Genomic DNA, 18,523 nt, shown 5'->3' with positions numbered 1-18,523 from the left:
GAAAAAGATAATTAAGATACATTCCAGCCCTTGCCCTTGAGGAACTCACAATCTGATGAGAAAGGCTGATCTGCAAACCATTACCCTCAGAACAGTTAAGCTTGATGGGAATATAATGAATGAAGGTCTTAATTACCTAATTCAGAGGTATTCTTTACAGTTAAATGCATTGTAGAATGAGACTGTCTTGGCAGTTCAAAAATCAGACTGTTTTAATCTGAATCCATTTTTTACTTGGCAACTTTATTTATTTATCTACCCCGCCCCCACCCAAGTAAGGAAAAGATACTTGGCAACTTTAGCTTAGGGTTCTCTAAAACCTTCAGAATAAGAGTAACCTGAGTCTGCTCCCTGGTGGAGCAATCTTCATAACTGTTCTTTGGATTCTTAAATTTCTGCTTTATTCCTGTTGTGGATAGGAGAAATTGGGTTACTTACAAATGGTCTTTAAGCTTACTACATTGATTCCTGTACTGATCTGATGATGGCCCAAGGCTTTAAGGAGGTGTGTTGATTCATCTAAATTAGGTGGAGTAATATGGACTTAAAAAAAGCACATATCTTTCCTGTTGGTATGATGGGAGACACAAAATGCAGTCAAACCTTGTAAACTAGGATTCAGGACAAACTCCTCCTACAAAAAGAAAATTAAAACTAGTTGCTAACCTTTGGAGATCTCAGAGACTAGGACTTAACTCCTTGAAATATTAATGCCGTTTCTACTACAATTTTCTTAAGAACTCTTCATATTAAATTAGATGATTGCACATTACAATTGTATTGGCATGCAAGATTACTTACATAGACTTGTACATTTATTTACGTTGACTTTTAGGTCAATTTTTGAAAGATCACATTTTACACACAAGATGGGGAAGGTTATTTTTCTTTTTTTCTTTTATAGAGGTATGGTTTTGGTTAGTTGTTCAGGGTGGAGTGCTGTGGTGCAGTCTGGCTCACTGCAGCCTAGTCCTGGGCTCAGGATCCTCCCACCTCAGCCTCCGGAGTAGCTGGGACTAGTCTTGTACCACCATGCCCAGCTAATTTTTTATTTTTTGTAGAGATGGGGTCTCACTTTGTTGCCCAGGCTGGTATTTTTCTATTTCACCTTCTATTACCTTCCTGCCCATCTTGTATCATTGTCCAGGATTCCTCCAGTTTTGTAAAGAACGAATTCCGTGAAAAGGTGAGGTGGAGCATTGTAGGATCTTTTCCAGGCCTTTGAGTTGCCATTTGAAGAACTGCTCGAGTCCAAAGGAGGTTAATGAAGTAAGCAGCTTACATATAATGAGGGGCTATGTATCTACCTTGATGCTTTGGCTGTTACCTGCAGTAATTTTTTTCACCCTTGGAGGAGGGATTAGGATTGTGATAGTGGGAACTGGTCATCTCCTTTGTTTCTGGAATATTACGTGTAATACTACCAAAAAAAGAGGTCCACCCAACTGCAGTAGTCTTCCTAGTTGGTCCATCATTTGCCTCTTGCCTGGGAAAGCCTAGGACCTAGAAGCAGCGCCTGAGGCCTGCAAACCTCTGGGCGAAGATACACTGCGGCCCCTTTAAGCTTTCAGAGTGTGCGGAGAGGGGAGCTGAGGGTGGGGCGGGCACTCTGACAGTGGCGCTCCGGGCCCCGCCCTCGGAGGAGGCGTTTCCCAGCGGACCGCAGCACCAATGCTGCTGCCGCCGCCGCCGCCGCCTGCCGGGTATTCCTGCTGATCCTGCTCGGACCTTAGCTTCCCTGACCTCTCCCTGCCCGGGGAGCGTAAGTGTCAAACCACGGGCAAAGGGCAAGCATCCCGCGACCGTGCTGCAAGTCCTGGTGGACAGTACTGGGGACTTTGCTGGCCTATCAGAGGCTAAGGCGGCGAAAGAGCGTAAACAATGCCGGCTCCAGTGAGCTAAAGCCAGGGTATCTGCTCTACTTCTGGGTGGTGACAGCAGCCGTAGGGTGCTTGTTTGGGCATGCAGTGGGTGAGCAGTGCCCACGACCTGGCTTTGCCCCCACCTGGTTCTTACTTGGGGTGAGGAGAGGGTTGCTTTTACCAGAGTATAACCCATTTGAGCTGAATGGGTGGAGCTGAATCTCTCTCTCTGGGCCTTGGATCCTTACCCTGGTATTTGAAGACCTTGGTAGCTTTGGGATGAGTAAGCATTAGGTTTTCAGCTACCTTGGTACAGTCGAGCAGTAACTCCAAGTTGTCCTAATTCACAGCCAGGTTTAGCTGTCTCTCCAGAGGCCTGTGTTGGTGGTATCCCGTACCCCTTTTGGATATGTTGACAGTGAACATCTCTTAGGAAGAGTCCAGTTAACCTTTCCTCCTGATATAAAGAGCACAATGTGAAAGAGACAGCTCTTTACCCCTCTCCATCTCTGAAGGAATTTGTGGGACGCCACTGTCCCAAGATTAGGAAAGCAAACACACCAAAGTTTGAGATAATCTGCTAGAAAACTGTTCAGATTTCTGGCCGCCTGGTAATGCAGAATACTCCGGCAAGAGGATAACACTTGTCCTTGTTAATGGGAAATACCTGGAGACAGTGAGTTTTTTTTTTAATTTGAGGGAAAGTGTTGTCATTTTTGCCACCTGCTACTCAGAGATGGGATTTTGTCAGATTTTGGTTAAATAATAAAAATCTTAAGTTTTCTATGACAGTTACATAGTTGTTGTGTTTCTTTAATCCAGTTGTCCTTCCTAGACATGGTTTGAGTAGATTTCTGGGCATGTGTATGCATTGCTTTTTTAAAAAAATAATTTCTTTTTTTTTTTTTATGAGCCTATCATCACACTCAGTGGTCATTCAAATGGGTTGCTTTTTGATGGAGCAGAAGTTTTTCTCAAACTTCTGTTAAAATCATTCTGTGCTTCTGCAATAGCATCTCCTTAGCCAGAGGTGAGAGTCCAGGAATGGTAATCAAATTCAGATCTCTTGTATTGTGATAGTGAAGAGCTTTTGTAGGTCAAGAGCTTGGGAATTTGCCATAAAAAAGTCATACTGCCAGTGGTTTTTCTCTAAGTAGAAGAGAAAATAATCTGTACAGTAGCTCTGTAATTACTCTTATAGACTATCAAAATACAGGAATTTAAACTAAAAAGACACCACACTTGGGCCCATGGGTTGTAGGGAAGAGAGACAGACTGAGAAGTAGGAGACATAGGTTCTAGGCCCAGCTCTAGTATTACTCATGACTTAATCTCTCTGTCCCTTTTAAATGGTTGGTTAATGAGAAAATGCACAGATTTTGGGGTCTCTTTTATGATGGGATATAGTGCATATTTAATAGGAAATTTGTTATTTATTTGAACACTAAACTGAAAAATCAGACAATTTGGAATTTATTCTAAGTTCTGCCTTCATGTATAACCTTGAAAACATTTCTTAACCTCTAGTCTAAAAATAAACAATTATGCCTAAACCTTTTCAGCAATAGCATGGACTATATGGTATTTGAGCTCTTAGGAAGACATTTTTAGATCAGTGGTATATGATTATAATATATCTGTAAAACATACTTACTTTAGCTGACCTACTTGTCTTTGCCTCAGTTTTAGACTGGGATAAAATCTGAGAGCTCTGAATAATTGAAATTTCTGAATATGTGTCTTTACTAGGGACTAGATCAAATAAACCACAGCAAGCATTATGTATAGTTCAAATTAATCTTCTTAATGCTTCTCTTTGTTGGCAATTTTATTTGCTCTTTAGGCATCAAACTCTACTGTGTAGCAAAAACTTGGTTCTTATATCTGTTTATAAAATCCAGATCAGTCTGCTCATCCCTATATGATACTTTTAACTTTTTGAGAAACTTCCAAATGGTTTTACACAGCAGCTAGACCATTTTGCATTCACAGCAGCTGGACCATTTGGCATTCAACTTAAAAAATACAGAGGTATAATAATTTTTATTGTATTTTACAGACATACTAGTATTCAGTTGGTGGGGGTGGTAGGGGGAAGACTGGTCCTGAGTTTGAAAAGCACAGTTTGATGAACATGTGAACTGTTTCCAGCTTTTGACTACTATGAACAACATTGCTATGACTATCCCTATATAGGTCTTCTGGTGTAATTTGCATCAGTTTCTAGGCTATACACCTAGGAATGGAGTTGCTGGGTGGTAGGGCATGTGTATCTGATAATGCCATACTGTTTTCCAGACTGTTAAACTATTCTGTCTCCCATCATTGGTGTATTTGAGTTCCTGCAGATTCTCCTGACTCCTTTAAATTACACTGCTGCTGTTTCATGGCAATCCTAGGGATTTTGAAGAAAAATCTTAATGAAAGTTCCACATATCCTAATAAACTTTTACAATTCCATCTTTCTCTGGGACATTTTCTTCTTTGCCATGGGAGGGAACAAAATGTAAAGGAAGAAGCATAGACTATGAATCTTAGTTTAATTTCATTGCTTACCAGTTTTGTTGTTTTGGCAGGTTACTTAATATTTGTGAAGCTAGTGTGTAAAATGAGAATATCTTTCCTTCACATAGTTGATGTCAGTATAAAGTGAATTAGCGTGTTTAAAAAGTACTTTGCACCATGCCTGATTCAGAATAGATATTACCAGAGTATATATTCAATAAACAAATATTTATTGAAAACATATTTTATGTCAGGCCAGAACTAGGGATGGAGAATTACGGAGGACCGCTTCTATGTTATTAATAATATTGAAAAATCGGCCAGCCTGGGCAACATAGTAAGACCCCATCTCTACAAAAAACTAAAAAATTAGTTGGGCATGGTGACATGTGCCTGTAGTCCCAGCTCCTTGGGAGGCTAAGGCAGAAGAATCACTTGAACCCGGGAGGCGGAGGTTGGGAGGATCACTTGAGCCCAGGACATCAAGGTTGCAATGAGCTGTGATCACACCACTGCACTCCAGCCTGGGTGACAGAGTGAGACCCTGTCTCAAAAATGAAAAAGAAAAATTGGAAACAATTTAAATGTCCAATGGTAGGGTTGGTAATTATGGTACATTTGTAAAATGGAGTGCTATGTAGACTTTAAACATCATATTCTCAAATCTGGGAAAATGTTTGTGATCATATAACAAAAATGTTGTAAGGGGATTATGCCTGTCTTTTTCATATGATTTATATTACTACATGTGTATTGAAAAAAAACTGGATACGTACTTTAGTGTTCATCATGGTTATTAGGTGGTGGTAAAATTGTATTTTAATACTTAGATTTTTTTCTGTAGTTACTAAATTTTCTGCAGTTTACACACATTACTTTTATAAGAAAAAGGTGTTGTCTAGATAGATAGCATAGGGGTGGGTGCGGTGGCTCACGATCAGTGGGATCACTTGAGCCCAGGAGTTCGAGACCAGTCTGGGCAATATAACGAGACCTTGTCTCTACAAAAAATTTCAAAATTAGCCGAGCATGGTGGTGCACACCTGCAGTCCCACCAAATCCTAGCTACTCAGGAGGCAGAGGTGGAAGGATCGCTTGAGCCCAGGAGGCAGAGGTTGCAGCGAGCCAAGATCGTGTTCATTCCACTCCAGCCTGGACGACAGAGCAAGACGCTGTCTCAAAAAAAAGAAGATAGGTAGCATAAAGTTATTAAAAGGATGTTGACTTTAAACCTCACTTAAAAACATGGTTTACATAAAGAATATGTATAAAGGTTCATTCAGGGATTTAATTTTGTACTTGTTTATATAAACATTGACTAGTCATGTTTGCTAGAATTAGGGAGCTTGGCAGTATCAACATTTTTACATATTGATTCTTTCCTTTTCTTTCTTTTTTTTTTTTTTTTTTTTTTTGGGACGGAGTCTGTTGCCCAGGCTGGAGTGCAGTGCGATCTCGGCTCACTGCAAGCTCCGCCTCTCGGGTTCACGCCATTCTCCTATCTCAGCCTCTAGAGTGGCTGGGACTGCAGGCGCCAGCCACCAAGCCCGGCTAATTTTTTGTGTTTTTAATAGAGATGGGATTTCACCGTGTTAGCCAGGATGGTCTCGATCCTGACCTCGTGATCCGCCCGGCTCGGCCTCCCAGACTGCTGGGATTACGGGCGTCAGCCACCACACCCGACCCCCATATTGATTATTTTCTATAAGTAATTCTAGGTGAAAGTATGACTTTTTCCAAAACTTTTTTCTTGGCCTTTTAAAAGGCCATTTAGCTCAGCAATTCAGTTTTATTCCAGCTTCGTTTTATATCTAAGAAGTTCTTATTTGGGAAAATAAAAGCATCATTTTTTAGAAAACAAATTTTTGGTTTTTTTGAGACAGGGTCTTGCTCTGTTGCCCATGCTGGAGTGTAGTGGCATGATCACAGCTCACTGCAACTTCTGTCTCTTGGGCTCAAGTAGTCCTCCCACCTCAGCTTCCCGAGTAGCTGGGACTACAGGCACACACACCACTACGCCTGGCTAATTTTTGTGTTTTTAGTATAGATGGGGTTCCACCATGTTGCCCAGACTGCAATATATTTATATTTATATTTTTTGAGTGACTTTATTTTTTTGAGATGGAGTCTTACTCTGTCGCCCAGGCTGGAATGCAGTGGGACAATCTTGGCTCACTGCAACCTCCTCCTCCCAGGTTCAAGCGATTCTCCTGTCTCAGACTTCCGAGTAGATGGGACTACAGGCCTGCACCACCACACCCAGCTAATTTTTGTATTTTCAATTGAGACGGGATTTCACCATGTTGACCAGACTGGTCTTGAACTCCTGATCTCAGGTGATCTGCCCACCTCAGCCTCCCAAAGTGCTGAGATTACAGGCATGAGCCACCACTGTGTCCTGTCTTTTGAGTGACTTTAAAAAAAAAATTCTATTGGCCGGGCGCGGTGGCTCACGCCTGTAATCCCAGCACTTTGGGAGGCCGAGGCGGGTGGATCACGAGGTCAGGATCGAGACTGTCCTGGCTAACATGGTGAAGCCCTGTCTCTACTAAAAATACAAAAAAATTAGCCGGGCGTGGTGGCGGGTGCCTGTAGTCCCGGCTACTCGGGAGGCTGAGGCAGGAGAATGGCGTCAGCCCAGGAGGTGTAGCTTGCAGTAAGCGGAGATCGGGCCACTGCACTCCAGCCTGGGTGACAGAGCGAGACTCCGTCTCAAAAAAAAAAAAAAAAAAAAAGTCCTGTTAATTGAATTAAGTGGGGATCTGACGAAAGAACGGGATTTTTACTCTTGTTGTTGCATGAATGATAAAATAATAATCTCAGAAAAGTTATTTTTGTCTTAAGAGACTGCCTGGTTGCTAAGCAGGTTTCTACCTTTATCTGACCAGGAAATACTCTTAATTCTAAGGAAAACCTGGAAGCACAATGGGAGATGACAGTGAGTGGTTGAAACTGCCAGTTGATCAGAAATGTGAACACAAGGTAAGATTCTTCTGGAATTCGATTTTCAGTGTCGTTGGCTTGTTTTGTGAGCAGTTATACTATCATCTTACTTAGAAGTGTGTGAAAACATTGGCAGTTTCAAAAATACTGATGCCTTGTTAGATATGTTATTTTTTCTCATTGAAAATAGGTTTCTGTAGCTCAACTAAAAATTTTTTTGTCTCTGGAAAGAATTCAAAGAAAAGATATTAGTGAAGTGAAAAGTAAGTGGTATCTATGAAAAGTAACTGGCTAGTTTTTTCATCTCCTTGTATATACAGTACAATATACTTCTGGTACCTAAGTACTTACTAATATTTTATTATATAGAGACTCTTCTTTTGAGATGTGTTCTGAATTTGGCCTTAGAAATCCAGCATTTTTTAGGTTCTCTGATTTATATGATCGGCATTCCAATATTTACCCTCAGAATCTACCAATCTTTATTTTCTAGTTTATGCTAGTAAGATACAATTTATTACATCATGTCATTATTTGGTGGGCATCCTTTCAGATTATCTTATTTTTTCCCCAACTATACCTCTAGTTTCTTTCATTTTTAATCATTTTAAACAAACATCTACCATCTGGTAGATTTTAGAATTTCATTTCTTCTTGTAAATTTATTCTACTCCAAGTCCTCAGGTTTACCACTTTATGTTCTTGACAGTTCTTTTAAAGTTTGTTTTGAATCTGAGTATTCAAGATTTATGGTTGTTGATTACTAAAAATACTGAATAAAATATACTAACTTACACAGTTGTATACATACAGTTCTACCTATGTAGAGTAGAAATTTGGAGCCATGGTCCCTATATCCTCCACAGAACCACTCCTTCATCCTATATAATAAATTAGCCAAGGCCGAATACTGTATCAAAAATCAACATGTAGCTCTTCAAATAAGGCCAGATTAAAAGTGAGCTAGTTGGTTTTTATTCTAATTCGCATAGAAATTGTTGGTTATGTAGTACATTAAATTGCAACAAAAATTGGGGGAGAATTTTGGAACTTATTTAGAATCGTTAACTATAATGCTTTTTTTGGTAGATATTGTATATTCTCACTGAAAGGGGCAGACAATATAGATAAATCTTAGACTTTCCGATTTTTGATTGGTTAATATGTGCTAAGAGTTTTTCAATCTCGTGTGATTTGGTACTTTATTTTTCCCATTTTTTGAGCATTTATTGTGTGTTTTTGAAACTTAAAGCATAGAGATGTTAAATCTGTTTAGGGAACACTCATTCTACTTTATAGAATGAGATGTTGCCCAATTTTAAAAAATAAAAAAATAAATCTGGTTTAAATTGGTTAGTAAATGTTCAACTATGATGTTAATTTATGTTATACTTCACTCTAATTTTGCAGAATAGGTAATGCCTTCTTCCTAATGAATGCATCTTATAGTGGGTTAGGCAGCATTCCTTCCTTAGAAGGAAGAGTTTTTTCTGTGAGCATAGCACCTGCCCCAAATCACATTTTCAATTACATTAATTGAATCAATTCAATTACATTTTCAATTACATTTTTACTTACATTAAACAAATAACATGTAAATTATTTCTGTTTTTCAATCATATGTTGATCCTTCTGTCTCTTTGATCTAATAGTGTTGAGGACAAACATCTAATTCTTTACTAATGCTTAACACAGTAAATGCAAATTCGATCATCCCACAAACTAACTTCTCATTTAACTGCCCCCAAATCATTTCATTGCTTTCCCATTGCTCTTAGAATAATGAGTGGAATCTTTTCTTTGGCCTTCATAGTCCTGCATGATCTGGCCTTTTCCAATCCTCTCCAGCTTACTTTGTACCATACTCCCCTTCTCTTTCTTTATAGGAGTGGGAAATACCATATTCCCTGCTGCCATAGGGCCTTGGAGTATACTGTTCCTTCTGGAATGTTCTGTCTCCCCTTTTGCCACTCTTTCCTGATTAGTTCCTATTTATCTTTCAGGGCTCAGCTCAATTACCATTTCTCAGGAAATTTTTTCTTAACACTAAGACAAAGCCTTTTATAATATATACTTTCATAGCACCAAGTTGCTTCTCCTTTGTAGTACTTAATGCTTTGTTAATTTTAAATTTATTTGTATTATAGCTTAATGTCCCCTCCTGCTGGAGTGTAAGCTCCACAAGGGCCAGAGCTGAATTGATTTTTATTTATTAAACACCTGTTGAATAAATTAATGAAAAAAGAATACCTCAGTAAAAATGTCCGGAATCTACTAGCTGAAATTAATATACAGTGTAATATAAAGCTACCTAATGATTATACAAAAATAGAACCAAAAAACAGCATATACTTTGGAGACGGGGCAGTTTCATCAGGGTGATTTCTCATGTTTGAGTTATCACATCTTTAATACAATATTATAAAGAAGTAATAATTCTTAGATACAATGTGAGATTCATTTATAATGGCCTATTATGAATGGCAGAGTATCATAAACACTAAACACTTGTAAGAAGTTTATTAGCTAATCTTTTTTGAAAACTGCCAATTTCTTAAACTCTTTTTTCATTTCTAGTCATGGGGTCCTTTGTTTACATTACCTGACATAGGATATTCATTTCTATTCTCACACCCTCCCCCCCCAGATTAATAGTAGATGATAATATCATTAAATTATGTTTTGTTTCAAAATACTACTTTTCTTTTAGCTGTGGAAAGCAAGGTTAAGTGGGTATGAAGAGGCCCTGAAGATCTTCCAGAAAATAAAGGATGAAAAGAGCCCAGAGTGGTCCAAATTTTTAGGATTGATCAAAAAATTTGTCACTGATTCCAATGCAGTGGTTCAATTGAAAGGATTAGAAGCTGCACTTGTTTATGTTGAAAATGCCCATGTAGCAGGAAAGTAAGTACTTTCTTTCCAACTTTACTGATAAAAACCCCTGTTTGGTGTTACATAATGTATGTTTGTAGATCACTGTCCTTAGTTATTAGCAGTTTTAGAATAGATGAATTTTCTTACTTTCGTAGTTTCTTGATACTTGTTTTTCATTCAGTCTTTATTCTCAGAAATCTAAATGGCACATGAGATCTGTAGAGGAGTAAATTAGAAATAATATTTTGAGGGTTTACCTTAAGGTTTGATGACCAAGTGGTTTTCCTTTTAAGCTTTTTGTATGGGAATTATTCTAAACTAAAAGGAAGAGTCTTTAGTAACTTCAAAAAGAAACTGAGAGATTGTCAGTAAAGGAATTATCAGAATTTCACTGAAGACATTTGGGCATTATAGAAAACTAAATTTTTTACAAGGGTTGTTAGATAGGTGATGTTAGAATCATGTCTTTCTCCCTTTGTTCATTAGGCATTTTTATTTCTTGGGGGAGGTAATGCTTACTAAACAACCTCAGTGACTCCTGGCCAGTTTAACTTGATCTGTGAATGACAGATTTCTAGTCATCCTACTATCCCATACCTCATAGACCTGATTTTCCTAACTCTAGTCTCTGTGTCATTGAAAGGAACCCTCCATACAAAAAAAAAAGTTGAAACACTTGACTTAATTGCACAAGAAATATATACTTGACTTACTTCAAAGATTATACCAATAAAGATCATCATTAATTTGACAATTTGGTTAACTGGCATCACTGGGTTTCCTTTACCGTTAGTAAAACTATCACTTTTTAATTTCTCTTCTGATACTAGAAGCGGTTTTTTGATAAATGCTGCATGTAATCTCAACCCACTCAGTTCTTCTGATTCCCGGTAGTGTAGGTTTCATTTCATTTAGAGGAGATTCAAAGCAGTAAAGTTATTGTAAAGTCTTATTAAGGAGTCAAGAGTAGTCTTTTATTATTAAAGGTACATATCCGTTCCCTCTGTGAAGAAATTCTCTTTTCCTAAAAAGTGTTTAAAACGACTTAAAAAATTTTTTTGCCCAGATGCAGTGGCATGTGCCTGTAGTCCTAGCTACTCAGGAGGCTGAGGCAGGAAGATCGCTTGAGCCCAGGAGTTTGAGGTCACAGTGAGCTATAATCCCACCACTGCACTCCAACTGGGTGACAGCACAAGACCCTGTCTCTCTCTCTTTTTTTTTTTTTTTCTTTTTGATACACAGTTTCGTACTTGTTGCCCTGGCTGGAGTGCAATGGCGCGATCTTGGCTCACCACAACCTCCACCTCCCAGGTTCAAGTGATTCTCCTGCCTCAGCCTCCTGAGTAGCTGGAATTACAGGCATGCGCCACCACACCTGAGTAATTTTGTATTTTTAGTAGAGATGAGGTTTCTCCATTTTGGTCAGGCTGGTCTTGAACTCCTGACCTCAGGTGATCCACCCGCCTCAGCCTCCCAAAGTGCTGGGATTACAGGCATGAGCCACCATACCCGACCAACCCTGTCTCTTTAAAAAAAAAAAAAAAAAAAAAAAATTGAAAGCAAGCATTCTGTAACCCTACTTTTGTAAAGTATATTTGTATGTCCATATACACACACACTTAGAGAAAGGTCTGGAAGGAGGGATATCAAAAAGTTGAAAGTAGTTTTCTCTGGGTGGTGGGATTTCAAGGGATCTTTAATTTTTTGTTTGAATTTTCTACATTTATAAACTGTTACTATGCCTGCTATGACATGTCTTAAAATTTTATGTTTAACGTTAAGTTTTTAAAATATTCTTGAACATAAATTTAAAAATTAAAGACTCATTTACTGTATTTCTAGCATTTGTAAAAGTACTAGTACACCCCCTTTCCGTGACCTTTTTCCAATTCTTACTACTTAAGTGGGATTTTTGTTCTTTATAATATGTTACAGAACCACAGGAGAAGTTGTGTCAGGTGTTGTAAGTAAGGTGTTCAATCAACCTAAAGCTAAAGCCAAGGAGCTGGGCATAGAGATCTGTCTTATGTACATAGAGATTGAGAAAGGAGAGGCTGTTCAAGAAGAGCTCCTGAAAGGCTTGGACAATAAGAATCCCAAGATCATAGTGGCCTGTATAGAGACACTGAGGAAAGCCTTAAGGTAAGACTTTGTTTTAGCTTTGTTAACTAGAGCAGCAGTCCCCAACCTTTTTGGCACCAGGGACCAGTTTCATGGAAGACAATTTTTCCATGGAAGAATTGTGTGTTGGGGGGATGGGGGGGTCGTTTTGAGATGAAACAGTTCCACCTCATAAGGAGCATGCACTCTAGATCCCTCACATGTGCAGTTCACAGTAGGGTTTGCACTCGTATGAGAACCTTAATGCCCTGCTGATCTGGCAGGAGGCAGAGCTCAGGGGGTAATTCTCGCTTGGTAGCTGTTCACCTCCTGTTGTGTGCCTGGTTCCTAACAGGCCACTGTACTGGCCACAGCCCAGGGGTTAGGGATCCCTGAACTAGAGTATCTCAATTGAGTTTGGATTCCGGGTTTAAACAGAAATGGAAACTGCAGAATTTGACTTGGCATGCCAAAACAAGCAAGAAAGTGACCTGAATAAGGAAAGTCATTCCCCAAGTGTGGCACTTCATGTTGACTAATTTTAGCCTTCAAGTGTGTTGTGTAGTTATTTTATCTGAATCCCTTTCTAATGAAGATGAATAGAGATTTCTGACCTGTTATCAGATTAAGAATTAGGCTTTTCAGTTGGGGGCAGTGGCTCATGCCTGTAATCCCAGCACTTTGGAAGGCTGAGTTAGGAGGATCACTTGGGGCCAGGAGTTTAAGACCAGCCTGGGCAAGATGGCAAGACCCCTGCCACTATAAAGAAGCTGAGGTGGGGAGGATCTCTTGAGTCTAGAAGTTCTAGGCTGCACTGAGCTGTGATTGTGCCACTGCAATTCAGCCTGGGTGAGAGAGCAAGACCCTGTCTCTTTAAAAAATAAATAAATATGGCCAGGCTCAGTGGCTCACTCCTGTAATGCTAGCACTTTGGGAGGCCAAGGCAGGCAGATCACAAGGTCAGGAGTTTGAGACCAGCCTGGCCAATGTGGTGAAACGTCTCTACCAAAAATACGAAAAAATTAGCTGGGCATGGTGGCGCATGCCTGTAATTCCAGCTACTCGGAAGGCTGAGGCAGGAGAATTGCTTGAACCTGGAAGGCAGAGGTTGCAGTGACCCAAGATCATGCCACTGCACTACAGCCTGGGTGACAAAGCAAGACTCCCTCTCAAAAATAAATAAATAAATACATTTTAAAAATTGGCCTTTTGGTGGAAAAGCACTGAAAAGAAAAGTACTGGCCTTTTGTTGGAAAACTACTCCTCAGGGTATTTAAGCAGCTCTTTTTCTCTTGCTATCTTAAGTATAGACTTTCGAAGTCTATACTTTGAGATGTTGGCTAAAGATAAAGTTTGTGGACTAAAGCTAACCTTTATTTAGGTGCCTTTTTAGTAAAGTAGAAGCAAATGCTATATGCCTTTAAAGAGACGCACAGTGAAAGCAAATAGAAAAGTAACTTTTGCTCTTATGTAGTAAGTTCTTTTCAACCCTAGACTTTCTTGTTTGGCCATGAAATTTTTCATGAATAGGATCTCTTTCAGGAACAAGTGGATGTAATTTGCTATGGAAATCTGAATTAGACAGATCACTAGTTTGTTCAGACTTGGCAGTTCTTCTAATCTGGTATCCTGTCCCCAAGTACTGTCTATATCAGATATTTTAGAAAGCAGCTGTAGTAAAATCCTCACGGAATGAAGATCATCCATCTCACCTCTCATGATTTTGTGTATGACCTACATCTTGGAGAAAAATGTTTCCTTTGGTGTTTATCTTCTGTGAAAGTATAAAAACTCTTGTATTTTGTTGAATGATCTTTGATTTATAGGTCTTTAATATTGTTTTTTGCTTTGCTCATAATGTACTTTTATAAAATTTGACTTGCTTAGATTCTTACGTGAATGAAGTTTCCTTGTTTCTAGCCTATTACAATATAGTAAGCAGATGTTTTTCTGAGTAGTAAACAGTATGCTCATTCTATTATCTTAGAAATTTAGTGACTCATCTTAGTTATCAGAACTATGCTTATATCAATAAATCTTTTGTGTCCTTAGTGATGTCTAAATTTTAAAAAATACTGTAATCTTTTTTTTTTTTTTTTTTTTTTTTTGAGACAAGGTCTCGCTCTGTCACCCAGACTGGAGTGCAGTGGTACGATCTCAGCTCACTGCAACCTCCGCCCCTGGGTTCAAGCGATTCTCATGCCTCCAGCCTCCTGAGTAGCTGGGACTACAGGTGAGCACCACCACACCCAGCTAATTTTTTTTTTCTTTAATAGAGATGGGTTTCTCCATGTTGGTCAGGCTGGTCTGGAACTCCTGGCATCAAGTGATCCCACCTCGGCCTCCCAAAGTGCTGGGATTACAGACATAAGCAACCGCACCTGGCCTATAATCTTCTACCTTTAAATTACAAGTTTCTAGTCTGGAGTGCTGTGTACTCTGGTTATTTCATTTTTTAGCTAAACTGGGAGAATAAGGGTAGGAAAATAACAAGTTACGTATATCTCATGTTTTCTTCATAGATGTTGTTATGTAGTCCCATCCCTGTGTGGTTCTTTATTTGTCCTAAAGCATTTCAGAGTCTATAGTTTAACTAGGTAGCTCTCTGGGACCCTCAAGAACCTTGAGGCCAAACTGCTTGATCCTGGGTTCCAGAGCTTGCTAAAGCTTTGTTAGTGAGAGCTTCAGGTGACCAGAAACATTTGTGGTACCTAAAACAGGTTTCTAGTACCCTTTTGTGTTTTCTATAGTAATACGTTTAGTATCAAAATTAGGTTTTATTTTATTAAGGTGTCTATTTTCCATGTGGACTTGCTCCATCTTTTTTTTCTTACAGAAGGAGGCCAGGATAGAGAAAAAAGATTCAGATGAAACAGTAATAATATATAGGAAGATTTAAGAAATCTCAAATGTTAGGTTCTTCAGGCACCATGTTAAATATCCCTAAAACAAAATGGTTTATTGCCACTATAATTTCTTATTTTTTGTTTAATCTTAAAGGTCAGCTGAGCCAAGTTAAAATGTAATTTTTTTAATAATATAAAAGCATTTTAAAAAATCTTAGAGATTATGTAGGTTATTCTCATGATATTTGTACTTAAACTATATCACATAGCCAGGTATCTTATTAAAAATTCTTTTTTTATTGTGCCTGTAGTCCCACCAACTCAGGAGGCAGGAAGATTACTTGAGCCCAGGGGGTGAGGCTGCTGTGAGCTATGATTGTGTCACTGTACTCCAGCCTGGTTAACAGAGTGAGACACTATCTCAAAAATAATAATAATAATTAAGGCCAGGAGCAGTGGCTCATGCCTGTATTGTCCCAGCACTTTGGGTTGGGAGGCTGAGGCAGGCAGATTGCCTGAGCCCAGGAGTTCAAGACCAGCCTGGGCAACAAGGAGAAACCCCGTCTCTACAAAAAATACAAAAAAAAAATTAGCCGGGCATGGTGGTGCCCCTCTGTAGTCTCAGCTGCTTGGGGGACTGAGTCTGGAGAATAGCTTGAGCAGGGAAGGTCGAGGCTGCAGTGAGCTGTGATCATACCACTGCATTCCAGCCTGGATGACATAGTGAGACCCTGTCTCCAAAAAAGTAAAAACAAAAACCAAGAAAAAAAAATCGTTGGAGTACACTAGTAGCTATTACTGAGTAATTTTGTTGCATTTGCTCACATGAGATAAATTTGTGCACATTAGATAATAGATAAATAATAATTTGGGTCCTACTACTCATACAGAATTTCAGTGTTCTTTCATAAATAAATCTCTCCTGCTCCAGAATCTGATACTCACAAATGTTAATAGTGATATTAGATAGCTAAAATTGGCCAGTTGGGAACTTGAAAATGTAATCTATGACAGATATGTAAGGTTAAACACACTTTTTTTTAATTTTATTTTTTTTTTGAGACGGAACCTTGCTCTGTTGCCCAGGCTGGATGGAGTGCAGTGGCGCGATCTCGGCTCACTGCAACCTCTGCCTCCCGGGTTCAAGCGATTCTTCCACCTCAGTCTCCCAGGTAGCTGGGATTACAGGCGCCCACTATCGTGCCTGGCTAATTTTTGTATTTTTGTAGAGACAGGGTTTCACCATGTTGGCCAGGCTGGCCTTGAACTTCTGACCCCAGGTGATCTACCTGCCTCAGCCTCCCAAAGTGCCGGGATTATAGGTGTGAGCCACTGCGCCTGGCCAAATATGCTTTTTGAAAGAAGTCAAAATGCAACATTTTCCCCATAGAAAACTGAAGTAAAGAAAGATTTAAGATGCCCAGAGTTATAGTGTGATAGCCACAAAGTCAGGAACAAAATATTGCCAAGATTTGTGATCTATCTAGGTAAATGAATCACTTTAATTATAGGAGCTATTAAAGGTTTATTAAAAGTAGATTTCATTCATGTAAATATTTATAAACTAGTTTATATTTGTAAGCTTTTATATGTATATACATACATATTTGTGGTATTAGGCTGGGTGTGGTGGCTCACGCCTGTAATCCAGCACTTTAGGAGGCTGAGGCGGGTGGATCACCTGAAGTCAGGAGTTCCAGACCAGCCTGGCCAACATAGTGAAACCCCATCTCTACTAAAAATACAAAAATTTGCTGGGCGTGGTGGCGCATGCCTGTAACCCCAGCTACTTGGGAGACTGAGACAGGAGAATCACCTGAACTCAGGAGGCAGAGGTTGCAGTGAGCTGCAATCATGCCATACCACTCTAGCCTGGGCAACAAGAGCAAAATGCCATCTGAAAAAGAAAAAAAAAGGGTATTAAACATGTTGATCCTTTATAGGTTTTAATTATTCCTAGTCTGCTTACCTAGAAAGTTTGTTTAAAAATGGTAATATTATTTTGGGCCCTACACATTAAATAATATTCTTAGAAGAACAACACCTTAGTAGGTAAGCAGTTATGAGTTCCTTTTCTTTTGTTGCCTTAAAAAAAACTGAACTTATATAATTCTTCTAATATGTAGATATGGAACTATGTTTGAATGAAGAAAAGCTAATGCTTTATTTAATTGCATTGCACGTTGACAGTTTTTTCCCAATTTTTTACTTGTAGTGAATTTGGTTCCAAAATCATCTTGCTTAAGCCAATTATCAAAGTGTTGCCAAAACTCTTTGAGTCTCGAGAGAAGGCTGTTCGAGATGAAGCCAAACTAATTGCTGTGGAGATTTACAGATGGATTCGGGATGCTCTGAGACCCCCATTACAAAATATAAACTCTGTTCAGGTGAGACAAAAAGTTTTCTGGTTGCTTTCGCACAAGGTTAATATGAAAATATTTTCTTCCTATCGTTGTTGATATTCTGTCCTTAAAAATAATTATTTTACATTCTTAATTTTGAAATCAGCTTTTCTGAGCATAGCTAACTTTCTCAGCAATTCTCTTGGGTGGCAGAACTTATTATCTGTGTGAAGTACATTCTTTCTGGCTTTTTATTACAATTGGTTTTGGAGACTCTTCTGATGATGTAAATGTATCTGAATTAATGAACTAATGAGAGTGTCTTAAAAAGTGGGACTTACTGTTCTTTCTTAGTGCTTAGACATACGTCTTCCTTATAGTAAATTCAAGTTGGTTTGACTTATGCTGTAAAAGAAATAAAATTTAATTATATATTTTCTTCCGCTGGTGCAGTGGTTCACACTTATAATCCCAGCACTTTGGCAGGCCCAGGGAGACAGATCACTTGAGCCTAGGAGTTCGAGACCAGTCTGGGCAACATGGCAAACCCTATCTCTACAAATAATAAAAAAAAAATTAGCCAAGCATGGTAGCACAGCCTGTAGTCCTAGCTACTCGTGAAGCTTAGGTGGGAGGATCACCTGAACCTGGGGAGGTGGAGGCTGCAGTGAGCCAAAATTGTCCAGCCTGGGCAAAAGAGTTGAGACCCTGTCTCTCAATGAATGAATGAATGAATCTTTCTTGTTTGCCCTGGTAGAGCCACATAAATAAGAAATTAGAGGCCAGGCACGGTGGCTTATACCTGTCATCCCAGCATTTTGGGAGGCTGAAGCAGGAGGATCACCTGAGGTCAGAAGTTCAAGACCAGCCTGGCCAACATAGTGAAACCTCATCTCTATTAAAAATACAAAAATTAGCCGGATGTGGTAGTGCACACCTGTAATCCTAGCCACTCGAGAGGCTGAGGCACGGGAATTGCTTGAACCCAAGAGGTGGAGGTTGCAGTGAGCCAAGATCATACCACTGCACTTCAGCCTGGGTGACAGAGTAA

At 39.2% G+C, this 18,523-nt stretch overlaps 1 protein-coding gene across 2 annotated transcripts in view, besides 2 other annotated features; it reads left to right on the top strand.

Moving 5' to 3' along the window:
- CKAP5 (cytoskeleton associated protein 5) overlaps positions 1 to 18,523 on the top strand; it is a 103,233-nt gene that overhangs the window by 17,757 nt on the left and 66,953 nt on the right. For both annotated transcript variants that reach the window (NM_014756.4, NM_001008938.4), the window contains exons 2-5: positions 7,256 to 7,349; positions 10,021 to 10,214; positions 12,120 to 12,326; positions 17,346 to 17,517. In NM_014756.4, the coding sequence (NP_055571.2) occupies positions 7,293 to 7,349; positions 10,021 to 10,214; positions 12,120 to 12,326; positions 17,346 to 17,517 (630 nt within the window). In that variant the 5' untranslated portion in view covers positions 7,256 to 7,292. The remainder of the gene's footprint in view (positions 1 to 7,255; positions 7,350 to 10,020; positions 10,215 to 12,119; positions 12,327 to 17,345; positions 17,518 to 18,523) is intronic.
- Positions 1,236 to 1,786: an enhancer, noted in NCBI's record as "H3K27ac-H3K4me1 hESC enhancer chr11:46848289-46848839 (GRCh37/hg19 assembly coordinates)". NCBI's record gives its function as "activates a minimal SCP1, AML or CMV promoter by ChIP-STARR-seq in naive H9 embryonic stem cells {active_cell/tissue: H9 hESC(naive)}" and the evidence as "EXISTENCE:reporter gene assay evidence [ECO:0000049][PMID:30033119]".
- Positions 1,787 to 2,339: an enhancer, noted in NCBI's record as "H3K27ac-H3K4me1 hESC enhancer chr11:46847736-46848288 (GRCh37/hg19 assembly coordinates)". NCBI's record gives its function as "activates a minimal SCP1, AML or CMV promoter by ChIP-STARR-seq in naive H9 embryonic stem cells {active_cell/tissue: H9 hESC(naive)}" and the evidence as "EXISTENCE:reporter gene assay evidence [ECO:0000049][PMID:30033119]".

This window comes from Homo sapiens, chromosome 11 (genome assembly GCF_000001405.40).
Source record: "Homo sapiens chromosome 11, GRCh38.p14 Primary Assembly".
NCBI lineage: Eukaryota > Metazoa > Chordata > Mammalia > Primates > Hominidae > Homo > Homo sapiens.
This window is presented reverse-complemented; position numbering and strand designations above follow the sequence as displayed.